At 40.5% G+C, this 24,979-nt stretch overlaps 2 long non-coding RNA genes across 2 annotated transcripts in view, besides 1 other annotated feature; both read left to right on the top strand.

The window, feature by feature from the left end:
• LOC100506023 (uncharacterized) overlaps positions 1–24,979 on the top strand; it is a 242,096-nt gene that overhangs the window by 909 nt on the left and 216,208 nt on the right. Inside the window, exon 2 of the long non-coding RNA NR_037845.1 lies at positions 13,793–13,923. This is a non-coding gene — a long non-coding RNA (uncharacterized LOC100506023). The remainder of the gene's footprint in view (positions 1–13,792; positions 13,924–24,979) is intronic.
• PRDX6-AS1 (PRDX6 antisense RNA 1) overlaps positions 14,885–24,979 on the top strand; it is a 43,574-nt gene continuing 33,479 nt past the window's right edge. The window contains exon 1 of the long non-coding RNA NR_125960.1: positions 14,885–15,869. This is a non-coding gene — a long non-coding RNA (PRDX6 antisense RNA 1). The remainder of the gene's footprint in view (positions 15,870–24,979) is intronic.
• Positions 15,656–16,155: an enhancer, noted in NCBI's record as "H3K27ac hESC enhancer chr1:173429231-173429730 (GRCh37/hg19 assembly coordinates)". NCBI's record gives its function as "activates a minimal SCP1, AML or CMV promoter by ChIP-STARR-seq in primed H9 embryonic stem cells {active_cell/tissue: H9 hESC(primed)}" and the evidence as "EXISTENCE:reporter gene assay evidence [ECO:0000049][PMID:30033119]".

The raw sequence follows: 24,979 nt of genomic DNA, 5'->3' as shown, positions 1-24,979 counted from the left end.
GAAAGCCACCAGGATAATGTAGGTAAACTAGTCAGCTCACGGTAGGTGCTCTGGAAATGGTAGCTATCGTTTGGATGATGACACTGGCTCATGCAGTAACTCTTGCTTTGCCTGCTGTGTGCTGGACACTGTGCCAGGCCATACAGTGGAGAAACACAGTCCCTGCTGTTACAGGGAAGGCATATTTATATGCAATTATAATAAAATGTAGGGTAAATTCTGATGGGGGAAGGTGTAAATGATTGGAGTTCAGAGATGAGAAAAATCCTCTGGATGGGGCTGGCAGGTTTAAGGCAGGGGCATGGCAATGTTGAGAGTAGTGACTCACATACTGTGATTTGCGTTTTCATCACAGTGATGTGTTGGTGCGTGCATGCTAATCATATTTACCGAGTTCTTCAGTGACCCAGGACTTGCAGTAAGATTACTGGTAAAAATTTCTAGCCACTTCACAAAACCGTTTAAAGCTAATGTAATTTAATCTCTAATTTGGCTCCAAGTTTTAACAGCTCCTTGTTTTAACTCCCTTTGTAGGGAAGAAAGAGAATAGTTGGGAAAGAAGAGTAGTTTGGCCTAAGGCACTGTTAACAATATGTTGTGGAAATCAGCTAGAAAACACAATACTCTATAAATATGGAGAATGAATACAGAAACAGATTATTGATGTCTGTCAAAGGCATAATTATATTATTGTCTGTTGTAAATTAAGCAAATATAATAAAATACTCATTAGAATTTACAGTGCCAGAAGCTGTACACTGGCAATGCTTCTGCACTCTGTGAACTTGTTTGCTTTAGACTTTGGAGCATTTTAAATTGTCTTGAATTAGCTGTCCACTGAAGGGGGCCAGCCCCTCCACGCCTGTGGGTGTTTCTCGTCAGGTGGGATGAGAGACTGAGGAAAGAAATAAGACACAGAGATGAAGTATAGAGAAAGAACAGTGGGCCCGGGGGACGGCGCTTAGCATACGGAGGACCCGGCACTGGTCTCTGAGTTCCCTCAGTATTTACTGATCACTATCTCTACTATCTCGGTGAGGGGGATGTGGCAGGACTATAGGATAATGGTGGGGAGAGGGTCAGCAGGAAAACATGTGAGCAAAGGTCTCTGTGTCGTAAATAAGTTTAAGGAAAGGTTCTATGCCTCGATGTGCACATAGGCCAGATTTATGTTTGACTTTACACAAACATCTCAGTGCAGTAAAGAGCAGTATTGCCTCCAGCATGTCTCACCTCCAGCCATAAGGCGGTTTTTTCCATCTTAGTAAATAGAATGTACGTCGGGTTTTACACCGAGACATTCCATTCCCAGGGATGAGCAGGAGACAGATGCCGTCCTCTTATCTCAACTGCAAAGAGGCCTTCCTCTTTCACTAATCCTCCTCAGCACAGACCCTTTACTGGTGTCAGGCTGGGAGACGGTCAGGTCTTTACCTTCCCACGAGGCCATATCTCAGGCTGTCTCAGTGGGGAGAAACCTTGGACAATACCCAGGCTTTCTTGGGCAGAGGTCCCTGCGGCCTTCCGCAGTGCATTGTGTCCCTGGGTACTTGAGACTGGAAAATGGCGGTGACTTTTACCAAGCATACTGCCTGCAAACACATTTTTAACAAAGCACACCCTGCGTAGCCCTAAATCCATTAAACCTTGAGTCAACACAACACATGTTTCTGCCAGCACAGGGTTGGGGCTAGGGTTACAGATTAACATCATCTAAAGGCAGAAGAATTTTTCTTAGTTCAGAACAAAATGGAGTTTCTTATGTCTTCTTCTTTCTGCATAGACAACAGTAACAGTCTGATCTCTCTTTCTTTCGTCCACATCAGCATTTTGAAAACATGATTTTTCATAAAAATATCTGGATTTTTGTCTCCTGAAAGGTCAGAAGATCTAGCAACACAGCAACACCAGGCCCATGTTCCATCTGGCAAACAGTGGCTGCTGAGTAGCCTTTTAGAGGGCAATGTTCTCTGTTACTCAGAAGGTCCTCTGCCAGTTACTAACATTAGAGTAGAATTGGGAGGAAAAAGAAATAGTTCTTGCATTCTTATCTGTCAAAACTGTGCAAATGAAAGCTTAACTAAGGGCTGTATATTTCAAGAAAAAAATGATCATGTTTCTTTGTGAAAGTAGAGAATGTTCCATGAACTTAATATGCAAACAAAGTCAGAAGAACGCTGTTCTGCCTGGCCTTCGTAGGTAATTGAGTTTAACATCTGACTTATACCAAAGGTAGGTGCTCTGTGGACTGGGCCCCATTCCAGAGGGAAAATTTTAAAGCTATTTTCCTGAGGGTTAGTGAGATGTATAATGGGAAAGGAGGAGGGGAGGAAGGACAGAGGAGACATTCCAGGGAAAGACCGGAGTGTGGAAAAGGGAGAGCTTGACTAAGAAAGGATTTACTTTCCTTAGAGAGAGGGTGGAGGCTCTCCTATCAGAAAAAGTGTTTTCATACAGCTATAAGGGTCGGAGAGAACCTTGAAGTCCTTACAGTAATCTGAGGGACAGGAAAGAATGGATTTCAGGCATTTCCAGAGGGCTGTGACTCTGGGATGACTCACATCTTCTCTTCTGTCTTTACTGCTTTGACAGAAGAATAAAATGAACAGATTAGCAATGGGCATTTGGAAAAACAACAGTGCACCATGATGCCTGTCTCTCTCACTAGATTGTGAACTCCTAAAGGTTTGACTATATTTTATTAATGAATATTTGTGACCTGTTACACATAGTGGGCATGAGGACTACGTTGTACAAAGTATTAGAGAAACATTGGGTCGCCTTCCTGCAGCCACAACAGCAAAGTTTCTTGTTTGTCCACAGCTGGGAGTAAAAGAGCAAGATGTCTCTAGTTATACAGTCATGTGATACAACATTGGACCACATATACTACGGTGGTCTCATAAGATGATAATGGAGCTGAAAAATTCCTTTCGCATAGTGATGTCTTGAGGATCCTGACCCTGTGAAGCCCTAGGCTAATGTGTGCATTTATGTCTTTGTTTTTAAGTTTAAAAAGTTTCAAAAGACAATAACCTTTTAGAATTATAAAAAAGCTTATAGAATAAGAATATAAAAAAGAAAATACAGTATTTTGTATAGCTATACAATGTGTTTGTGTTTTAAGCTAAGTGTTATTACAGAAGAGTCAAAACATTAAAACAATTTTAAAGTTTATAAAGTAAAAAAGTTATAGTAAGGTAAGGTTAATTTGTTATTGAAGAAAGAAATTTTTACACATGAATTTAGTGTAGCCTAAGTGTACAGTGTTTATAAAGTCTACAGTACATTCATTCACCACTCACTCACTGTCTCACCCATGGCAACTTCCAGTCCTGCAAGCTATATTCATGGTAAATGCCCTATATAGGTGTACCATTTTTTATCCTTTTTTTTTTCATTTTTTTTTTTTAAGACAGGGCCTTGCTCTGTCACCCAGGCTGGAGTGCAGTGGTGTGATCATAGCTCACTGCAGCCTCAAGCTCCTGGGCTCAAGCAGTCCTCTCACTTCAGCCTCCTGAGTAGCTGGGACTACAGGCACATGCCACCATACCTGGGCAATTGTTTTATTTTTGGTAGAGACGGGGTCTTCCTAACCTGTGTTGCCCAGGCTGGTCTGAAATTCCTGGGCTTAAGTAGTCCTCCCACCTTAGCCTCCCAAAGGGCTGGGATTACAGGCTTGAGCCATATTTACCATGGTGTTATAATTGCCTACAGTATTCAGTATAGTAATGTGCTGTGCAGGTTTGAGGCGTAGGAGCAATAAGCTATACCATGTAGCCTAGGTATGTAGTAGACTATACCATCTAGGTTTGTGTAAGTGCACTCCATAATGTTCACACAATGACAAAATTGCCTAATGACACATTTCTCAGAACATATCCCCATCGTTAAGTGATGCATGACTGTAATTAGAGCTAGGTAAAAATCCCTGTACCAATGGGAGGAGACATATAAAACTAAAATTAATGTTAGGATGGTGAGATTGTGTTTTTTTTCAACTCTATAAACTTTCTTGTTAGATTTGATTGTCTTTTCAGAAATAAAGAAAGCTTGGGCACAGTAACCTGTACATATCATTAAGGCAGTCCTGTCAACCTTCAGTGAGTGGGGCTGATAATCTCTCCACTGCTTTTCTTTATCATCGTAATAGTTCGTTTTCATGATGCTGGTAAAGATATACCTGAAACTGGGTGATTTATACAGGAAAGAGGTTTAATGGACTTATAGTTCCACATGGCTGGGGAGGCCTCACAATCATGGCAGAAGGCAAGGAGGAGCAAGTCACATCTTATGTTGATGGTGGCAGGCAAAAAGAGAGCTTGTGCAGGAAACTCTCATTTTTAAAACCATCAGATCTCGTGAGACTCATTCAGTATCATGAGAACAGTGCAGGAAAGACCTGCTTCCATGATTCAGTCACCTCCCATTGGGTTCCTTCCATCACGTGTGGAATTGTGGGAGTTACAATTCAAGATGAGATTTGGGTGGGGATACAGCCAACCCATATCATTCTGCCCCTGGCCCCTCCCAAATCTCATGTCCTCACATTTCAAACCAATCATGCCTTCCTAACAGTTCCCCAAAGTCTTAACTAATTTCAGCATTAACTCAGAAGTCCCCAGTTTAAATTCTCATCCAAAACAAGGCAAGTCCCTTCTGCCTATGAGCCTGTAAAGTCAAAAGCAAGTTACTTCCTAGATACAATGGGGTTACAGGCATTGGGTAAATACCGCCATTCCAAATGGGAGAAATTGGCCAAAACAAAGGGGTTATAGGCCCCATGCAAGTCCAAAATCCAGCAGGGCAGTCAAACTTAAAGCTCCAAAATTATCTCCTTTGACTCCATGTCTTGCATCTGGGTCATGCTGATGCAAGAGGTGGGTTCCCATGGTCTTGGGCAGCTCCACCCTTGTGGCTCTGCATGGTACAGCTTCCCACTTGGCTCCTTTCACAGGCTGGTGTTGAGTGTCTGTGGCTTTTCCAGGCACACGGTACAAGCTGTTGGTGGATCTACCACTCTGGGGTCTGGAGGATGGTGGCCCTCTTCTCACAGCTCCACTAGGCAGTGCCCCAGTAGGGACTCTATGTGGGGGATCTGACCCCACATTTCCTTTCTGCACTACCCTAGCAGAGGTTCTCCATGACAGCCCTGGCCCTGCAGCAAACTTCTGCCTGGATATCCAGGCATTTCCATACATCCTCTGAAATCTAGGCAGAGGTGCTCAAACCTCAATTCTTGACTTTTGTGTGCCTACAGGCTCAACACCATGTGGAAGCTGCCAAGGCTTGGGGCTTGCACCCTCTGAAGCCATGGCCCAAGCTGTATATTGGCCCCTTTTAGTCATGGCTAAAAGAAGCAGCTGGAACACAGGGCATCAAGTGCCCAGACTGCACACAGCATGGGGACCCTGGGCCTGGCCCCTGAAACCGTTTTTTCCTCCTAGGCCCCCAGGCCTGTGATGGGAGGGGCTGCCGTGAAGACTTCTGACATGCCCTGCAGACATTTTCCCCATTGTCTTGGGTATTAACATTTGGCTTCTTGTTATTTATGCACATTTCTGCAGCCAGATCGAATTTCTCCTAAGAAAACGGGATTTTCTTTTTTATTACATTGTCAGGCTGCAAATTTTCTGAACTGTTATGCTCTGCTTCCCTTATGAAACTGAATGCCTTTAACAGCATCCAAGTCACCTCTTGAATGCTTTGCTGCTTAGAAATTTCTTCTGCCAGATACCCTAAATCATCTCTGTCAAGTTCAAAGTTCCACAAATATCTTAGGCAGGGGCAAAAAGCTGCCAGCCTCTTGGCTAAAACATAACAGGAGTCACCATTTCTCTAATTCCCGACAAGCTCCTCATCTCCATCTGAGACCACCTCAGCCTGGATTTCATTGTCCATATCATGATCAGCATTTTGGTCAAAGGCATTCAACAAGTCTCTAGGGAGTTCCAAGCTTTCCCATATTTTCCCGTCTTCTTCTGAGCCCTCCAAACTGTTCCAACCTCTGCCTGTTAGTCAGTTCCAAAGTTGATTCCACATTTTTGGGTATCTCTTCAGCAGTGCCCCACTCTACTGGTGCCAGTTTACTGTATTAGTTCATTTTCACACTGCTGATAAAGACATACCTGATACTGGGTAATTTATATGGGAAAGATGTTTAATGGACTTACAGTTCCACATGGCTGGGGAGGCCTCACAATCATGGTGGAAGGCAAGGAGGAGCAAGTCACATCTTACGTGGATGGTGGCAGGCAAAAAGAAAGCTTGTTCAGGGAAACTCCCATTTTTAAAGCCATCAGGTCTTGTGAGACTCATTCACTGTCACGAGAACAGTGCAGGAAAGGCCTGCCCCCATGATTCATTCACCTTTTACTGGGCTCCTCCCGTGACCTGTGGAACTTGTGGGAGTTAAATTCAAGATGAGATTTGGGTGGGGACACAGTCAAACCATATCAATCATGTTTAATGTTGTCATTATATCTACTACTCCCTATTATATCTACTACAGGACTTCTACAATCTGGAGAGAAATCAAAGTAGGAAATGTAGGAGTGAAAATGAAAGACAACAGCTAATAAAATGCTACAATGAGAAATAACTCTCAGAGGGATTTTGGAGTAGTAAATTATTATTGTTATTATTTGATTCAGGACCTCACTTCACCCATGCTGGAGTGCAGTGGCATTAACTTGGCTCACTGCAGCCTCCAACTCCTGGGCTCAAGTATCCTCTGCCTCAGACTCCTGTGTAGCTAGGACTACAAGTGTGCCTACACTCCCTCATAAAGAAAGCTGGCTACTTGGTGATTGCACAGGACCATTGATCTGGATACTGGCTATTACATGTGTTTAGTTTGTAAAAATTAATCAAACTGTATATTTAAGATAATTGCTGTTTTCTCTGTGTATTTTGCAGTACTTCAATAAGGTTAAAAAAACAAGAAGAAAAGAAAAGAAAAAGAAATTGCCACTGTGTGTACATTAGAATAGTTGTATATGAACTATTATTTTCCTGAATTGTTCAAAAAGCTCACTCCAGTGTTTCAAAACAAACTTCAGGAAGTTTCAGTCAATGTTGCTAAATTGTTAAAATCACTATAATTACCAGGAAGGTTCTTCTTACATGAAAAACATTGTTGAGATCAGGCTTTCTTTATAAAACCTTTGTTTAGATGCATCCTGGGTGTAGAGGTTCATTGAACGATTGATAGCCCATAGCCTCTGGCTGTGATTGAGTAGATAGCCCACCCAGAGATGGTAGACATCTTTGAGATTCTCTACTCTACAAAATTCTTTACATATTCACTCATTGAGATAGTTGACATCCCTGCAGCAAGTGGTACATTTGACTAGCCTGGTATCTGGTTGATATGGTTGACTGTGTCCCCACCCAAATCTCATCTTCAATTGTAGTTCCCATAATCCCCACATGTTGTGGGAGGGACTCTCATGGTGTTCTTGTGACAGTGAGTTCTCACAAAATCTGATGGTTTTATAAGAGGCTTTTCTCCCACTTTGCTCTGCAGTTCTCCTTGCTGCTGCCATGTGAGGAAGGATGTGTTTGCCTCTCCTTTTGCCATGATTGTACGTTTCCTGAGGTCTCCTTAGCCATGCTGAACTGTTAGTAATTAACTTCTTTCCTTTATAAATTACCCAGTCTCAGGTATGTTTTTATTAGTAGCGTGAGAACGGACTAATACACTGGTGATCTCTCAGTGCATGTTAGTGCTTTTCCTGAAGATCCTTCCCTCAGGATATTTGCCTTTTAGTAAGTAGCCATCAGACTATAAAGGATCCCTGAAGTTTTGACTGGGAGTCATTTTGATGTAGCCTAAAAATAGACCACTATACTTTAATTTAAAAAAATTTACCAGATAATGTGCTCAACATACACCCTTTCCATTTCACAGAGTCTCGGCCTCACCCTTTCTTCACTCGTGTGTGAGCCACACCCAGGTTCAGGGAGGGAGAAAAGAATATTGAGTGTTTGAGAAGATCAGTTGGGCATTACTTAGTGATAAAAATAATATAGTTTTTACATTTTGGCTCATCAAAATGTTCTTTATGGAGAACTTATCCAGTGGTCACTGCAGAGTGTTAGAGTCATAAATCTTTACAGTGGAAGGGAACTTTGAGGTCATATAATACAAACCCTATCTCCAACCCCCCTACCACCATTTTAAAGCTGAAGAAACTGAGTTCAAGTCAGGAATGGATTTTTAATTTTATCAAATGTCTTTTGGCCTTTAGTAACACAAAGCATGAAGCTTTTCTCCTTAATCTATTAGTGTAATACATGAATACATTTCTAAATGTTCAATCACCTTGTATTCTTAGGCTAAATCCTATTTGGTAATACGGTTTTATTAATAGATTCTTAGATTAGCATGGAGGCTGCTGCACATCCATTTATACTTCCTTATTTTCTAATAGAGTCACTGCTGTGTTCAGGTATCCATTCTCGGTGTAGCTAGCTGTCTTGGGGAAGTCGACCTCATTTCCAGCTCTAGAGATAGTCCTGACTGGTCCAAGATAATCAGTATTAATGTAACTGGGGAATTTATTAGAAATGCAGAGTATCAAGACCCATACCAGACCTACTGAGTCAGAAACCCTGGGGATGAGGTCCAGCAATGTATATTTTAACAAGTCCTCCAGGAGATGCTGATGAGCTGGTCTAAAACAACTCCATTCTGGTGATTAGGGTTGGTTCAGTTATGAGCATGTAATCCAACTCTTGCTAGTAAGCAATGACGCTTGCTAGGTGAACTTCTGCGAAAAGTGTCTTTGGCTCCTGAGTAGAAATCTAAAAGAGTTAGTGTTTCATCTTTTTCTGGAAATCATGTCTGGATGCTTGGAAATATTGCAATCATGTTGCTACCTAACCAGGAATGAAATAACACAAAGAATGACAGACCAGGAAGATGGAAAGGATGGATTCTTTTTTTAATTTCCAACTTTCATTTTAAGTTCAGGGGTACATGTGCAGCATGTGCATGTTTGTTACATAGGTAAATGTGTGCCATGTTGGTTTACTGCACAGATCATCCCATCACCCAGGTATGAAGCCCATCATTCATTAGCTATTCTTCCTGATGCTCTCCCTCTTCCCATGCCCTGTCCTCTGACAGGCCCCAGTGTGTATTGCTTCCCACAACGTGTCCATATGTTCTCATCATTCAGCTCCCACATGTAAGTAAAAACATGTGGTATTTGGTTTTCTGTTTCTGCATTAGTTTGCTAAGAATAATGGCCCCCAGCTCCATCCATGTCCCTAAAAAGGACAAGATCTCATTCCTTTTTATGGCTATATAGTATTCCATGGTGTATATATACCACATTTTCTTTGTCCAGTCTATCATTGATGGGCATTTAGGTTGGTTCCAGGCCTTTGCTGTTGTGAATAGTGCTGCAATGAATATATGCATGCATGTATCTTTATAATAGAATGATTTTTATTCCTTTGGGTATATACCCAGTAATGGGATTGCTGGGTTGAATGGTATTTCTGCCTCTAGGTCTTTGAAGAATTGCCACACTGTCTTCCATGGTGGTTGAACTAACTTACTTTCCCGCCAACAGTGTAAAAGTGTTCCTTTTTCATCACAACTTCCCCAGCCATCTGTTGTTTTTGACTTTTTAATAATAGCCATCTGACTGGTGTTAGATGGTATTTCATTGTTGTATTGATTTGCATTTCTGTAATGAACACTGATGTTGAGCTTTTTCTCATGTTTGTTGTCCACATCTATGTCATCTTTTGAGAAGTGTCTGTTTTGTCTTTTGCCCACTTTTTAATGGGGTTGTTTGTTTTTTTCTTGTAAATTTGTTTAAATTCCATATAGATGCTGGATATTAGACCTTTGTCAGATGATAGATTGCAAAAATTTTCTCCCATTCTGTAGGTTGTCTGTTCACTCCAATGATAGTTTCTTTTGCTGTGCAGAAGCTCTTTAGTTTAATTAGATCCCATTTGTCAATTTTGGCTTTTGGCGTCTTTGTCATGAAATCTTTGCCCATGCCTGTGTCCTCAATGATATTTCCTAGGTTTTCTTCTGAAGTGTTTATAGTTTTGGGTTTTACATGTAAGTCTTTAATCTATCTTGAGTTAATTTTTGTATATGGTATAAGGAAGGGGTCCAGTTTCAATTTTCTGCATATGGCTAGCCAGTTCTCCAGCACCATTTATTAAATAGGGAATCCTTTTCCCATTGCTTGCTTTCATCAGGTTTGTCAAAGATCAGATGGTTGTAGGTGTGCAGACTTATATCTGGATTCTGTATTCTGTCCCATTGGTCTATGTTTCTGTTCTTGTACCAGTACCATGCTGTTTTGGTTACTGTAGTCCTGTAGTATAGTTTGAAGTTTGGGAGCATAATGCCTCCAGCTTTGTTTTTGTTGCTTACAATTGCCTTGTCTATTCATGCTCTTTTGGGGTTCCATATGAATTTTAAAATAGTTTTTTTCTAATTCTGTGAAGAATCTCAATGGTAGTTTAACAGAAATAGCATTGAATCTATAAATTACTTTGGTCAGTATGGCCATTTTCACGATATTGATTCTTCCTATCTATGAGCATGGAATGTTTTTCTGTTCTTTTGTGTCTTCTCTGATTTCTTTGAGTGGTGGTTTGTAGTTCTTGAAGAGGTCCTTCACTTCCCTGGTTAGCTTTGTTCCTAGGTATTTTATTCTTTTTGTGGCAATTGTGAATGGGATTTGGCTGTCAGCTTGCCTGTTGTTGGTGTATAGGAATGCTAGTGATTTTTGCACATAGATTTTGTATCTTGAGACTGCTGAAGTTGCTTATCAGCTTAAGAAGCTTTTGGACTGAGACATTGGGGTTTTCTAGATATAGGATCATGTCACCTGCAAATAAAGATAGTTTGACTTCCTCTCTTCCTATTTGAATATGCTTTATTTCTTTCTCTTGCCAGATTGCCTTGGCCACAACTTCCAGTGTTGACTGGGAGTGGTGAGAGAGGGCAGCCTTGTTTTGTGCCACTTTTCAAAGAGAATGCTTCCAGTTTTTGCCCATTCAGTATGATATTGGCTGTGCATTTGTCATAGATGGCTCTTATTATTTGGAGACATGTTCCTTCAATACTTAGTTTATTGAGAGTTTTTAACATGAGGGATGTTGAATTTTATCAAAGACTTTTTCTGTATCTATTGAGATAATCATGTGATTTTTGTCTTTAGTTCTGTTTATGTGATAACTTAACATTTATTGATTTTTGTATGTTGAACAGCCTTGCATCCCAAAGATGAAGCCAACTTGATCATGGTGGATAAACTTTTTGATGTGCTGCTGGAATCAGTTTGCCTGTATTTTGTTGAGGATTTTTGCACTGATGTTCATCAAAGATATTGGCCTGAAATTTCTCTTTTTTGTTGTATCTCTGCCAGGTTTTGATATCAGGATGATGCTGGCCTCATACAATGAGTTAGGAGGAGTCCCTCCTTTTCGATCTTTTTGAATATTAAATTGTTTCAGTAGGAGTGGTATTAGCTGTTCTTTGTACCTCTGGTAGAACTCACCTGTGAATCTGTCTGGTCCTGGGCTTTTTTTTTTTGTTGGTGTTGGGGTGATCAGACCCAACACCAGGTCATGGGGGTGACAAAGTCCAGCAGAGTCAAAGGATTGAGAAAAAGACAGTTTGAGGGAGAAAGGTGGAACCAGGAGGCCATTGTTAGTGTATGGAGGCTGTGAAGGCTCTGAGCTCTGGGAGCCCATGCTATTTATTGGTAATCCAACAGAGAAACAGGTGGTGAGAATGTGGAGGTCAGAAGAGCAGGTGCATGATCTACAGCTGTGATGGTTTGGCATTTATAAGGAACATGTTCTGCTACTTGAGATAATGAAGATACAATCGAACTAGGAGCCTAGGAGGGCTAGAAGCAAGGAGCCAGCAAGTCTAGACACATTCCAGAGGACATTGTGGCAGACATGCGAGCCCTGCCTCAGCTTTCTTCCCAACACTCAGCTTTTTCCCAACAGTTGGTAGGCTATTTATTACTGCTTCAATTTCCAAACTCATTATTGTCTATTCAGGGATTCAGTTTCTTCCTGGTTCAGTGTTGGGAGGGTGTATGTGTCCAGGAATTTATCCTTTTCTTCTAGATTTTTCTAGTTTATGTACATAGTGGTGTTTGTAGTATTCTCTGATAGTTGTTTGTATTTCTGTGGGGTCAGTGGTGATATCACCCTTATCACTTCTGATTGTGTTTATTTGAATCTTTTCTCTTTTATTCTTTATTAGTCTAGCTAGCAGTCTATCTATTTTATTAATTTTTTTCAAAAAACCAGCTCCTGGATTCATTGATTCTTTGAAGGGTTTTTCATGTCTCTGTCTTCTTCAGTTCTACTCTGATTTTGGTTATTTTTTGTCTCCTGCTAACTTTGGGTTGGTTTGCTCTTTTTTCTCTAGTTTGTTTAGTTGTGATGTTAGGTTGTTAACTTGAGATCTTTTTAGCTTTTTGATGTGGACATTTAGTGCTATAAATTTCCCTCTTAACAGTGCTTTAGCTGCATTCTGGAGATTCTGGACATTGTAGTTTTGTTCTCATTGGTTTCAAAGAACTTCTTGATTTCTGCCTTAATTTCATTATTTAACCAAAAGTCATTCGGGAGCAGATTGTTCATTTTCCATGTAGTTATATGGTTTTGAGTGAATTTCTTAATCTTGTGTTCTAATTTGATTACACCTTGGTCTGAGAGACTCTTTGGTATGTTTTCAGTTCTTTTGCATTTGCCAAGGAGTGTTTTACTTCCAATTATGTGATCAATTTTAGAGTAAGTGCTGTGGCGATGAGAAGAATGTATATTCTGTTGTTTTGGAGTGGAGAGTTCTGTATATAGCTATCAGGCCCACTTGATCCAGAGCTGAGTTGAGGTCTTGAATGTCTTTGATAATTTTCTGTCTCAATGATCTGCCTAATATTGTCAGTGGGGTGATAAAGTCTCCCACCATTATTGTGTGTGAGTCTAAGTCTCTTTGAAGGTCTCTAAGTACTTTCTTTTTCTGGGTGCTCCTGTATTGGGTGTATATATACTTAGGTTAGTTAGCTCTTCTTGTTGAAATGAACCCTTTACTGTTATGTAGTGGCCTTCTTTATCTTTTTTGATTTTTGTTGATTTAAAGTCTGTTTTGTTATAAACTAGGATTGCACCTGTTTTTTTCTGTTTTCCATTTGCTTGGTAAATTTTCCTCTATCCCTTTATTTTGAGCCTATGTGTGTCTTTGCACGTGAGATGCGTCTCTTGAAGATAGCATACTAATGGGTCTTGGCTCTTTATCTAGCTTGTTATTCTGTATCTTTTTTTGGGAGGCATTTAGCACATTTTCATTTAAGATTAGCATTTTTATGTGTGGATTTGATCCTGTCATCATGATGCTGGCTGGTTATTTTGCAGGTTTATGTGGATACTTCATTGTATCATTGGTATGTCAGTGTGTTTTTGTAGTGGTAATGGTTTTTCCTTTCTATATTTAGTGCTTCCTTCAGGAGCTCTTGTAAGGCAGGTCTGGTAGTGATGAATTTCCTCAGCATTTGTTTGTCTGAAAAGGATCTTATTTCTCCTTTGCTTATGAAACTTAGTTTGCATATGAAATTCTGGGTTGGAAATTCTTTTCTTTAGGAATATTGAATACTGGCCCCCAATCTTTTCTGGCTTGTAGGGTTTCCACTCAGAGGCCCAATGCTTGTCCGATGGCCTTCCCTTTGTAGGTGACCTGGTCTTTCTTTCTGGCTGTCCTTAACATTTTTTTCTTTTTTCTTTTTTTTTTCAGATGGAGTTTCACTGTGTCACCCAGGCTGGAGTGCAGTGGCACGATCTCAGCTCAATGCAACCTCTGTCTCCTGGGTTCAAGCAAATCTCCTGCCTCAGCCTCTTGAGTAGCCTGAGTAGCTGGGACTAAAGGTATGTGCCACCACACCTGGCTAATTTTTGTATTTTTAGTAGAGACAGGGTTTCACCACGTTGGCCAGGCTGGTCTTGAACTCCTGACCTCAAGTAATCCACCCACCTTGGCCTCCCAAAGTGCTGGGATTACAGGCATGAGCCACTGTGCCCAGCCAACATTTTTTCTTTCATTTTGACTTTGGAGAATCTGCTGATACATATCTTAGGGATGATTTTCTTGAATAGTTATCTTACTGGGGTTCTCTTGTTCCTGAATTTGAATGTTGGCCTATCTTGCTAGGTTGGGGTCATTCTCCTGGATGATATCCTGAAGTATGTTTTCCAACTTGGTTCTATTCTTCCTGTCTCTTTCAGGTACCCCAATCAGTTGTAGGTTTGGTCCTTTTACATAAACCCATATTTCTCAGAGGTTTTATTCATTCATTTTCATTCTTTTTTCTCTATTCCTGTCTACCTGTCCTATTTCAGAGAGATAGTCTGCAAGCTCTGGGATTCTTTGCTCTGCTTGGTCTATTCTGCTATTAATACTTGGGATTACATTGCGAGTACTTGTAGTATGTTTTTCAGCTCTGTGAGGTCGGTTATGGTCCTTTCTATACTGGCTGTTTTGGCTGTCAGCTCCTGCATTGTTTTATCATGATTCTTAGCTTCTTTGCCTTTGGTTAGGACATACACCTTTAGCTCAGCAAAATTGGCTTTTGTCCACATTCTGAAGCTTACTTCTGTCATCTTGGGCTCAGCCTAGTTCTGAGCCCTTGCTGGAGAGGTGTTGTGATCATTTGGAGGAAAAGGGGCTCTCTGGGTTTTTGAATTTTCAAGATTTTTGCGTTGATTCTTTCTCATTTTTGTGGGCTTATCTATCTTCGATCTTTGAGGTTGCTGACCTTTGGATGGCGCTTTCATGGATTGTTTTGTTTTTTCATCTTTTTCTTTTAGCAGTCTGTTTACTCTTCCTTACAGATGCTGCAGTTAGCTGGGGGTCCACTCTACACCCTGGTTGCCTCAGTTTTTCCTGTACTTGGAGGTATCAGCAGTGAATGCTATGAAACAGCAAAGATGGCAGCCTGCCCCTTCCCCTGGAAGCTCCATCCCAGGGCGGTACTGTCCTGTTGCCAGCATGAGCACACAGTATGTAGGGGGTGGCTGGAGACCCCAGTTGGGACATCTCACCTAGTCAGGAGGAACGGGATCAGGGATCCACTTAAAGAAGCAGTTGGGCTGTTTTTGATAGAGCAGTTGTGCTGTGTTGGGGATCCCATCAGCCCCTTGTTGGTTTGGGCTCTCCGAGGCCCACAGGCTGAACTGGCTGAGGTGCCCAACAGCCAAGTTGGTGGCCCGCCTTCCCCTCTGGGCACTCTGTCCCAGGGAAAAATTAGAAGTCTGTTGGCCACAGAACATGGGCGGGGGTGGCTGGATACCCCAGCTGGCATGATCTACCCGTCAAGGAAAAGTGGATCAGGGTCCCACTTAAAGAAGCCATCTGGCCATGCCTCAATAGAACAGCCTTGTTGTGCTGGGAAACTGCTTCTGCCCTTGTTGGCTTGGACTCTCTAAAGCCCACTGGTTGGAATGGCTGAGTCATTCAAACAGCCAGCTTGGTGGCCCTCCTTTCCTCCCCTCCTCCCCTCCCCTCCTCCTTCCCTCCTCGCCTCCCCTCGGGCATGCTATTCCAGAAAGAGATCAGGATCCGTTTGTGGAATACAGGCAGAGATGGCTGGAGGCCCCGGTTGGGAGGTCCCTCCCAGTGAAGAGGAATGGATTGGGGCCCCACTTAAAGAAGCAACCTGGCCACGTTCAGGCAATGCCGCTGTAGTGTTCTGGGAAGACCCTTCCTTGTTTGAACCATATGGATTCTCCGAAGCCCATAGACTGAAATGGCTGAGTCAACCAAACAGTAGAGATGGCAGCCCACCCCTCCCACTGGGGACTCTGTCCCATCACAGGTAGGCTATATTCCAAGCCAGTAGGTCTTATTTTGTGAGGTGTTGTGGAAGTGGGACCCACAGATTGATGCTGCTTGGCTCCCTGGATTCAGCCCCCTTCCTAGGGGTATGTACAGACCTCCCACCTTGCCTGAGTTACAGACACCTCTGTTGGGGATCCTGGGGCCGGAATATGTAAAGTTCCTGGATCTCTATGCATGCCTGAGCAGCTGCTCTGCTGAGACTCAACACACCTCTGTGTGTGGGACCCAAGACCCTGGTGATGTGGGTGCACAAGGTGGTGTGGGTGCACTGATCTCCTGATCTGTGGGTTGCAAAGATCCGTGGGAGAAGCGTGGTTTCCTGGGGTTGCACACTCACTCACTGCTTCCCTTGGCTGGGGGTGGGAGTTCTCTTGGCTTCATGTTGCTCCCAGGTGGGCTATTGCCCCACCTTGCTTTTCTCTCTTCTCCATGGGTCGAGTTGTTTCTGTGATCAGTCCCAGTGTGAGTGCCTGGATATTTCAGTTGAAGGTGCTATATTCACTTGCTCCTTTCTTCCTCTCCCTGAGTGCCACAGACAGCTGCTGCTTCTAATTGGCCAACTTGGCCCCCCTCCCCTGGGTTCTTAATAACGTAATTAAACCACAACCCATCCTAAAACTTATCCTACTTCTAGATTTCTGTTGAGTTCAGAAATACCCTCATTTTTAAAGATAATTGGAGTCAGGGTTTCTGTTACTTGCTGTCAAAAGCATTCTTAATTAGACTTGCTAATATTTGACTTTGGATTTTAAGAATAACCCAATATGTATTTTATTTTTACTATTGTTTAGTATTTAGTATACTTTAGTATCAGAATTAAATTTGTCAGTGAAGTGTATTGGGAAGTTTTTCATAGTTTGTACTGGCCGAATGTTTAAATAATCCAGGAATTATCTGTTCTTTATGATGTATTAGAACTTACTGATAAAACAAACTGGAACTGGTGCTTTTTTTGAAGTTAGAGCTTTTGCTGCATTTTCAAGTTTTTCTTTGATTATTGGGATAATTTCCTCTCTTCATGAGCTAATATTAGTAATCTGCATTTTGCTAAAAATTTGTCTATTTCATGTAGATTTTCTAATTTACTGGTGGGTATTTGGAATTTTAGAATTTTAAAAATCTCTTAATGCTGAATTATTTTTCTTTCCTTGTTGTAGATATTTGCATTTTCTTTCTCTTTTTTTCTTGTTCACACTTATTAATGGTTTGTATGTTGTATTCTAAAAACAAAAACAAAATAAAACAATTGCTTTATTTACCAGGTCTATGCAATTTTGTTTTGCCATGCTTTCTAGTTCATTAATTTTGAATTTTATTTTTATTAGTTTCTCCTATTCTCTGTTGGCTTATTTTTTTTTTTTTAATTTTTTTAAACTTTCTTGAACTGGGTGCTTAGATCATTTACTTTCAATCTTCCGTATATATTAAGAAGATCACTGAAAGCTCTGAATTTTCCTTTGAGTTAAGACTTTGGTTGTATCCCATAAGCTTTGAAATGGAGTGTTGTTTCATTGGTAATTTCAAACAGTCTGTGTTCTAGTACTGATTTCCACTTTAATCCAAGAGTTGTTTAGAAAACTGTTTTATAATGTCCATGTAATTAGATTGAGTTTGCTGTCTTTTTCATACTGATTTCTTGTTTGATTACCATGTGATCTGTACCTTTAGATATTTGAGATTTTATTTGTGACTTAGTCCTTGATAAATGTTTATTACTGCTTCATGGCTGTTTAAAAAGAGTGAGTTCTTTCTGTATAAAGGATACAACAAATATTATCTATGTACATGCCTTTCTCTACTTGTTTGTTGATCTATGTATGATGTCCATCACCCCTTATCTGCTTAAGCTCTAAAGGTCTTTTCTCTTTTCCCTACTCTTTCTCTTTCTACATCATCAATTCCTGATTCTCTACTAGATCATTATATTAGCATACAAACATGCTCTAGTACAACTCTCTCCAGTATAAATATGATGTGAGCCACATATGTAATTTAAGATTTTATGGTAGCCATATTAAAAAAGTAAAAAGAAAAAAAAGTAAATTTAATTGTCATATATTTCATTTAACCCAATGTATGTGAAATATTATTTCACCCTATAATTGATGTAAAAATTATTGATGAGATATTGTATATATTTTCTCATACTGAGTCTTCGAAATGTGGTGTGTAATTTATACTTATAGCATATCTAAATTTATGCTAGCCACATTTCTTTTATATATACATATTTTTTATTATTATACTTTAAGTTCTAGGGTACATGTGCACAACGTGCAGGTTTGTTACATAGGTATACATGTGCCGTGTTAGTTTGCTGCACCCATCAACTCGTCATTTACATTAGGTATTTTTCCTAATGCTATCCCTCCACCAGCCCCCCACCCCCCGGCAGGCCCAGGTGTGTGATGTTCCCTGCCCTGTGTCCATGTGTTCTCATTGTTCAACTCCCACTTATGAGTAAGAACATGCAGTGTTTGGTTTTCTGTCCTCGTGATAGTTTGCTTAGAGTGATGGTTTCCAGCTTCATCCATGTCCCTGCAAAGAAACATTAACTCATCCTTTTTTTTTTTTTGGCTCCATAATATTCCTTGGTGTATATGTGCCACATTTTCTTAATCCAGTCTATCATTGATGGGCATTTGGGTTGGTTCCAAGTCTTTGCTATTGTGAATAGTGCCACAATAAACATACATGTGCATGTGTCTTTATCGTAGAATGATTTATAATCCTTTGGGTATATGTCCAGTAATGGGATTGCTGGGTCAAATGGTATTTCTAGTTCTAGATCCTTGAGGAATCACCACACTGTCTTCCACAATGGTTGAACTAATTTACACTCCCACCAACAGTGTAAAAGCATTCCTATTTCTCCACATCCTCTCCAGCATCTGTTGTTTCCTGACTTTTTAATGATCGCCATTCTAACTGGCATGAGATGGTATCTCATTGTGGTTTTGATTTGCATTTCTCTGATGACCAGTGATGATGAGCATTTTTTCATCTGTCTGTTGGCTGCATAAACGTCTTCTTTTGAGAAGTGTCTGTTCATATCCTTTGCCCACTTTTTGATGGGGTTGTTTTTTTCTTGTAAATTTGTTTAAGTTTATTGTAGATTCTGGATATTAGCCCTTTGTCAGATGGGTAGATTGCAAAAATTTTCTCCCATTCTGTAGATTGCCTGTTCACTCTGATGATAGTTTCTTTTGCTATGGAGAAGCTGTTTAGTTTAATTAGATCCCATTTGTCCATTTTGGCTTTTGTTGCCATTGCTTTTGGTATTTTAGTCATGAAGTCTTTGTCCATGCCCATGTCCTGAATGGTATTGCCTAGGTTTTCTTCTAGGATTTTTATGGTGTTAGGTCTTACATTTAAGTCTTTAATCCATCTTGAGTTAATTTTTGTATAAGGTGTAAGGAAGGGATCCAGTTTCAGCTTTCTACATATGGTATACTGGCCACATTTCAAGTCCTCAGCAGCCACCTGTGGCTAGTGGCTGTTATATTAGACAACTTAGTTTTCATATTTTTTCAGGTTTAAAACTTCTAGTTTGACCCAACGTTTCCTTCTCCTACCACTTATTTCTCTGTTCATGTTTCTTTCTTTCTCTTCCTTCATACATTGAAATACATCTTGTTAAATCCAGGCTGGGTGTGGTGGCTCATGCCTGTAATGCCAACACTTTGGGAGGCCAAGGTAGGTGGATCACTTCAGCCCAGGAGTTTGGGACCAGCACCTGGGCAGCATGGCAAAATCCCATCTCTACAAAAAAAAAAAAATACAAAAAATTAGCCAGGCGTGGTGGTGTGCACCTGTAGACACAGCTACTGGGGAGGCTGAGGTGGGAGGATTACTTGAGCCTGGGAGGTTGAGGCTGCAGTGAGCTGAGATCACATCACTGCACTCCAGCCTGGGCAACGGAGTGAGAACCTGACTGGGAAAAAAAAAAAAAAAAGAAAATCCAATGGAAGCTTTTCTTCAATTTCAATGCATTTGACAGAGTTGATTACTTTTTTGGAAACACTTCTTTCTCTGCTTCCGTTACACCAAACTCTCCTATTTTTTTTTTTTGTTTGTTTGTTTGCCTCTCACTGGCTACTCTCTCTGTTTCACCTCTTCTCTTACTTCTGAATGTTGGTGTGTCTCAGGAAGTTCTCTGGCTCTTTTCTCTATCTGTAGTTTCTCTGGAGATGATATCTAGTCCAGCGCCCTTAAATAACATATATATGCTGTTGATGCTAATTTTTATCTTCAGACAAGCTCAACATTTGTATAGCCATCTATCTGCCAATTTGACACCTTGATCTGAATATGTCACAGACATTTGATATATATTCAAAATTTAATTCTTAATTCTCTTTCTTTCTAACCACAACAAACTCATTCCATCCACAAATGAATATACTATTTTCCCTTTCTCTTTAGAAGGATCATCCTGATTCCTCCTTTTACTCCCCTCCCACAGGAGCCTTAACACTAAGTCCAAGCGATTCTATCTCCAAAGCATATATTGTAACTGTTCGCCTTTCCCCATCTTTACTCCTAGCCTCTATATTCAAGTATGCTTATTATTAATTTATTTCCTCTTAGTTCCAAACTACCTTTCTTTGTCCTACTTCACGATACTGGAGATGTACACTGCAAACTACATTTTTTTCTCAGATATCTGGCTTTATATTAGGTTCAGCCAATTAGGGGCTAAGGGAGTGCTGAAGGGATTCTCAAAGTTGGAGAAGGAAAAAGAGATTTATCTTCTCCTGTTATTTTTGCCTTCTCCACATGACAGTGAATGGGTCAGCACATACCTGGCCCCGGCAGTATTCCTTGTGGTGGTGAATTGTTCCTGTGGTTCCAGCAAGTGAATGTCCCCCGGAGGTTTCTTCTTCACCCCAGCAGTGGGTGACATGTTTCTGCACCAGCTGAACCATCTCCTTAGAGGCCCAAATGTTAGTCTGCTGGAGTCCTTTCTCTCTTTCTAAGTTTCCTCCTTGTTTACCTTTCCTTTCATCTTAAGAGTGATAGCTGTAGTCTGAGGTTGCCACCTCTATTACACCATACAATTCTCTTTTATCCTTTTTAGTGGTTAACCACCTTTTTACCAAGTTAACAGTTCTTCATGATTATACTTTCTTTATTTGAATTACTGTGTGGTTTCTGTCTCTTGACCGGACACTGGACTCTTAACGGCAGTAGTGATCACTGCAAGGACTGTAGCATAGGATGGATATTTCTGAGTGTAGTGGAGTGCTTACAGACAGAAGATGAAAAGCTCAGGTCCTTAAGCTCTTGGTTTAGTTCTCGGTCTGAGAACTAGAGGACTTCCATGGCAGCCCTAACAGGATCTTTTATGTCTTGTAGCCACAGGGTTGGTATTGTTAAAAATTAAACACAAAATTTAATTTTACAGGTTGCAGAACTACAACATCAGTAATTTTCTTGGGAAATTAATGCCAAGTTTCTCATGTGAAAGTTAGGTCATTGATTGGGAAGGAGACCCCAAAACTTGAAATGGGCACATATGGTTGGTCTCAAGTGAGAGTGAGAATCTTGAACCCCTGAGTTGCTCTGAGTCTCCCTTGCCAGTGGGAGTATCTTGCTCTTGTGTATCTGCAGAATTTTTTTCTCCCCTCAAAAACCCTGTAATTGCCTCTCCTGGAGCAAATACTTCACAAACAAGAGGATGCTCACTCTCCTCGGAGCCTACCTGAAACACCCGTTACTGCTGCTAGACCCATAACTAGGGTCAATTGTCATCATATTCCAGTGGTGTGGAAGTGGCAGCCAGTCTGTGAATATAACTCTGGCCCTGAGTCCCAAGTTTGCCCCTTATTCCAAAGAGTCACTGTTTGCTATGCAGAGGAAGTATGGGCCAAGATAACCTCACCAAACACCGGGTTCCAGATTCTCAAGCAGTCCCTTTCAACACCATGGTTTCAAAAAGTAAATTTGAGAGGTAATTTTAAGGCTCTTACATAGAAGAATTCTCCCCAAAGAAACATATCTATGGTGATTATTGTTCAATTCTGGACCTCTCAGCATTGTTTCCTTGCTTTGTCACTTATAAAATAAATATACTTCTAGCTTTCTGGCTGTATGGGTGATACATGGCATAGAAATCTTGGGTGGGAGAAATGGGGTGTCTGGCAGGGACAGCCCCTTTCTCTGAGATTTGTTCTCCTGAGCTTTCTGAGTGCTGAGTCATTTTTAGCAAATGGCTGCATTTTAGCTGTTGAAAAAGAAGATCTCTCTTCCAAGGAGAAGGAATGTGGGCTTGTCCTAGTCTTTAGATACTGAGCTCAAGTGTCCCTAAACTAAATTGTTTCATTTTACAGAGGGCTAGACAATTAAAGTATATAAACAGAGTATTTACATGTGTTATATAGTCAGTAACGCTGTTTCCCAAGAGTCCCCATGGGCAGATAGGTTTATTTTACAATTAACAATCACAACCCTTTGTGAAGTTTTGATTGGCAGATTAGAAGCCCAGAATTTACTCTTACACCTCTGGGGTTTTTGTGTGCCCACTTAGGTATGAAGTCAGTTCTTGTCAGTAAGCACTCAGCTTTCATTTCCATCTCATTAGCTGAGAGTACAATCCCACTGAAAACTCAACTGTGGCTTGAGGCCTAATGGGCACCTGTTAATTTTCCTCTGTTCCATAGTCCCATCTCTCAGATCAACAACCTGATCATAAAGGTAGGTGATAAAGGTAGTTACTCATAAAGATGTGTAACTAATTCACAGAGAAGCATCTCTAGTGGAGGATAAACAATTGAAAGTACATAATTCTGGCCAGGCACAGTGGCTTATGCCTGTCATCTCAGCACTTCGGGCGGCTGAGGTGGGTGGATCACCTGAGGTCAGGAGTTTGAGACCAGCCTGGCCAACATGGTGAAACCTCATCCCTATTAAAAAAAAATACAAAAAGTAGCTGGGCATGGTGGTGGGCACCTGTAATCCCAGCTACTTGAGAGGCTGAGGCGGGAGAATCGCTTGAACCCTGGAGGTGGAGGTTGTAGTGAGCCGAGATTGTGCCATTGCACTCCAGCCTGGGTGACAAGAGTGAGACTCTGTCTCAAAAAAAAAAAATTTAATTAGAAAAAACAAAGTACATAATTTTGTTTGGAGGCGCTGAGAAGAGATGATATTGGTGTTGCCTTTTTATATAAAGTTAGGTATTTAATATTTAAGACAATTTACAAAGTTAAACTTTGTGCAAGGTGCTGGTATAAAGCATTGATGAGTTTATAGTGTGATGTTCTTTTCCCTGACTTCTTTTCCTATATTTGCTCATTTGTCATTCCATTTTCTCTAAACATTTCTTCTTTACTATTTTTTCTCTTACATTATTTAAGTGTGTTACAAAAATAATTGTTGTCTATTGAGATTCAGCTATCCCAAAGCAGGAAGATATGGATTTTGAGTACTTCTTATAGCCATGGTGGGCTGCACTCCTGCATTTTGCCTTTGCCACTAACAGCACCTGCTTATGGGACAGTTAGAGGCATGGGAGTAGTAGAAGCAATGCTAGGTGCCCTACCGAGATCAATTCCATAATGTTAGACACTAAGCTGTAGCCATCTGCCCCTTCGAAGTCTATCTTTGTCTTGCTCCAGCATTAATTAGTACAATTCCTACTTCTCTCTGAAACAATTTTAGTTTTAGGTCATTCTCTCTGCCTAGCTACCTTGCCCATATGAAGTCTGGAAAATTTCGTTACGCAGAGGTGTGCCACCCAGAAGAAAATGGTTCGGAGTGGCTCCATTAAGCATAATCTGAAAACATAAAGCCATGTATTTACGATTAGTCTAGAATGAACTCTTGAGGGTTGGGGACTCTGGCTTTGTATTTTCTTGTGGCTGCCTAGCACATTATGTTTTACTTGCCCAATAAGTCTGTTAATGCTTACTTAATAAATACCAACAGCCATGAATAAAAACTAAGAAGCTAGACTGGGTATTTCAATAGTCAGGTGGACAAATTCTGTGAGAACAAACAAGTAAGAGTGACTACCTTATTCACCTTCCTTTCCAAGCTGGGGTTTGTTTTTTTATTCCAGCCTTGTAACCTAACCTGGTATCAGAAACTGTTGATCCAAGGAGGAAAAATGCTGAAAACAAGGCCAGAGATGAGAGATATCTACACCTCAGGCTGTTTCGTAACAGGTGTTTAGTAAAGACATCACTTTTAGTTTATATTGGCTCATACTCTGCAGAGCAAGTGGAACGAGACAAATCTGGGAACCTGGGCTCAGTGCCACAGTTATACTCAGAGACCTGCTGCCACTTCCAGGCTGCTGGAACATGTTGAAATTGGACTCTAGTTATGGGTCTAGTGGCAATAAGAAGTGTTTGGGGTAGATTTTGAGGAGAGTGGGCATCCTCTCTTTTGTGAGGCATCAGCTCCAGGTGAGGCAATTACAGGGTTTTCAAGGGGGTAAAAAAAGAAAAGACTTCTTAAAAGACACGGAAGGGCAAGATAGTTTCTTTTTCTACAAGTTTATTAGCTTTAGACTTTATAGTCTATGATCCATTTTGAGTTCATTTTGTATAAGGTGTGACATATAGTTTAGGCTTATTCTTCATATGTATGTATGTGTGTATGTATGCATGTATTGTGTGTATATGTATGTATGAATTTATGTGCATCTGAATGTCCAAATGTTCCAGTATCATTTGTTAAAAATACCATAATTTCTCCACTGAATTCCTTTTACATCTTTAAAGAAATCAATTGACCATAAATACAAAGGTTTATTTCTGGACTGTCAATTCTATTTCATTGATTTATCTTTTCCTTTGCCAATCCCACATGATCTTGACTACTATAAAGTCTTGAAATCAGGTAGTATGACACCTCTAATGTTATGTTTTGTTTTCTTTCTTTTGGCTAATCTGGTTATTTTGGTTTTCCATATAAAATTTTAATTGTCTAAATCTACAAAAAAACCTACAAAAATCCTTTGGATTTTCAATTGGAATTGCATTAACTCTGTAGATTAGGAGAATTTACATTTTAACAATATTGAATTTTCCTTATCCATGAATACTGTATCTCCACATTTATTTATATCTTCTTTGACTTTTT

Source organism: Homo sapiens, chromosome 1 (assembly GCF_000001405.40).
Source record: "Homo sapiens chromosome 1, GRCh38.p14 Primary Assembly".
In the NCBI taxonomy this organism is placed as follows: Eukaryota; Metazoa; Chordata; class Mammalia; order Primates; family Hominidae; genus Homo; species Homo sapiens.
Note: the sequence above shows the minus strand (reverse complement) of the source record. Positions and strands in the feature narration are given on the sequence as shown.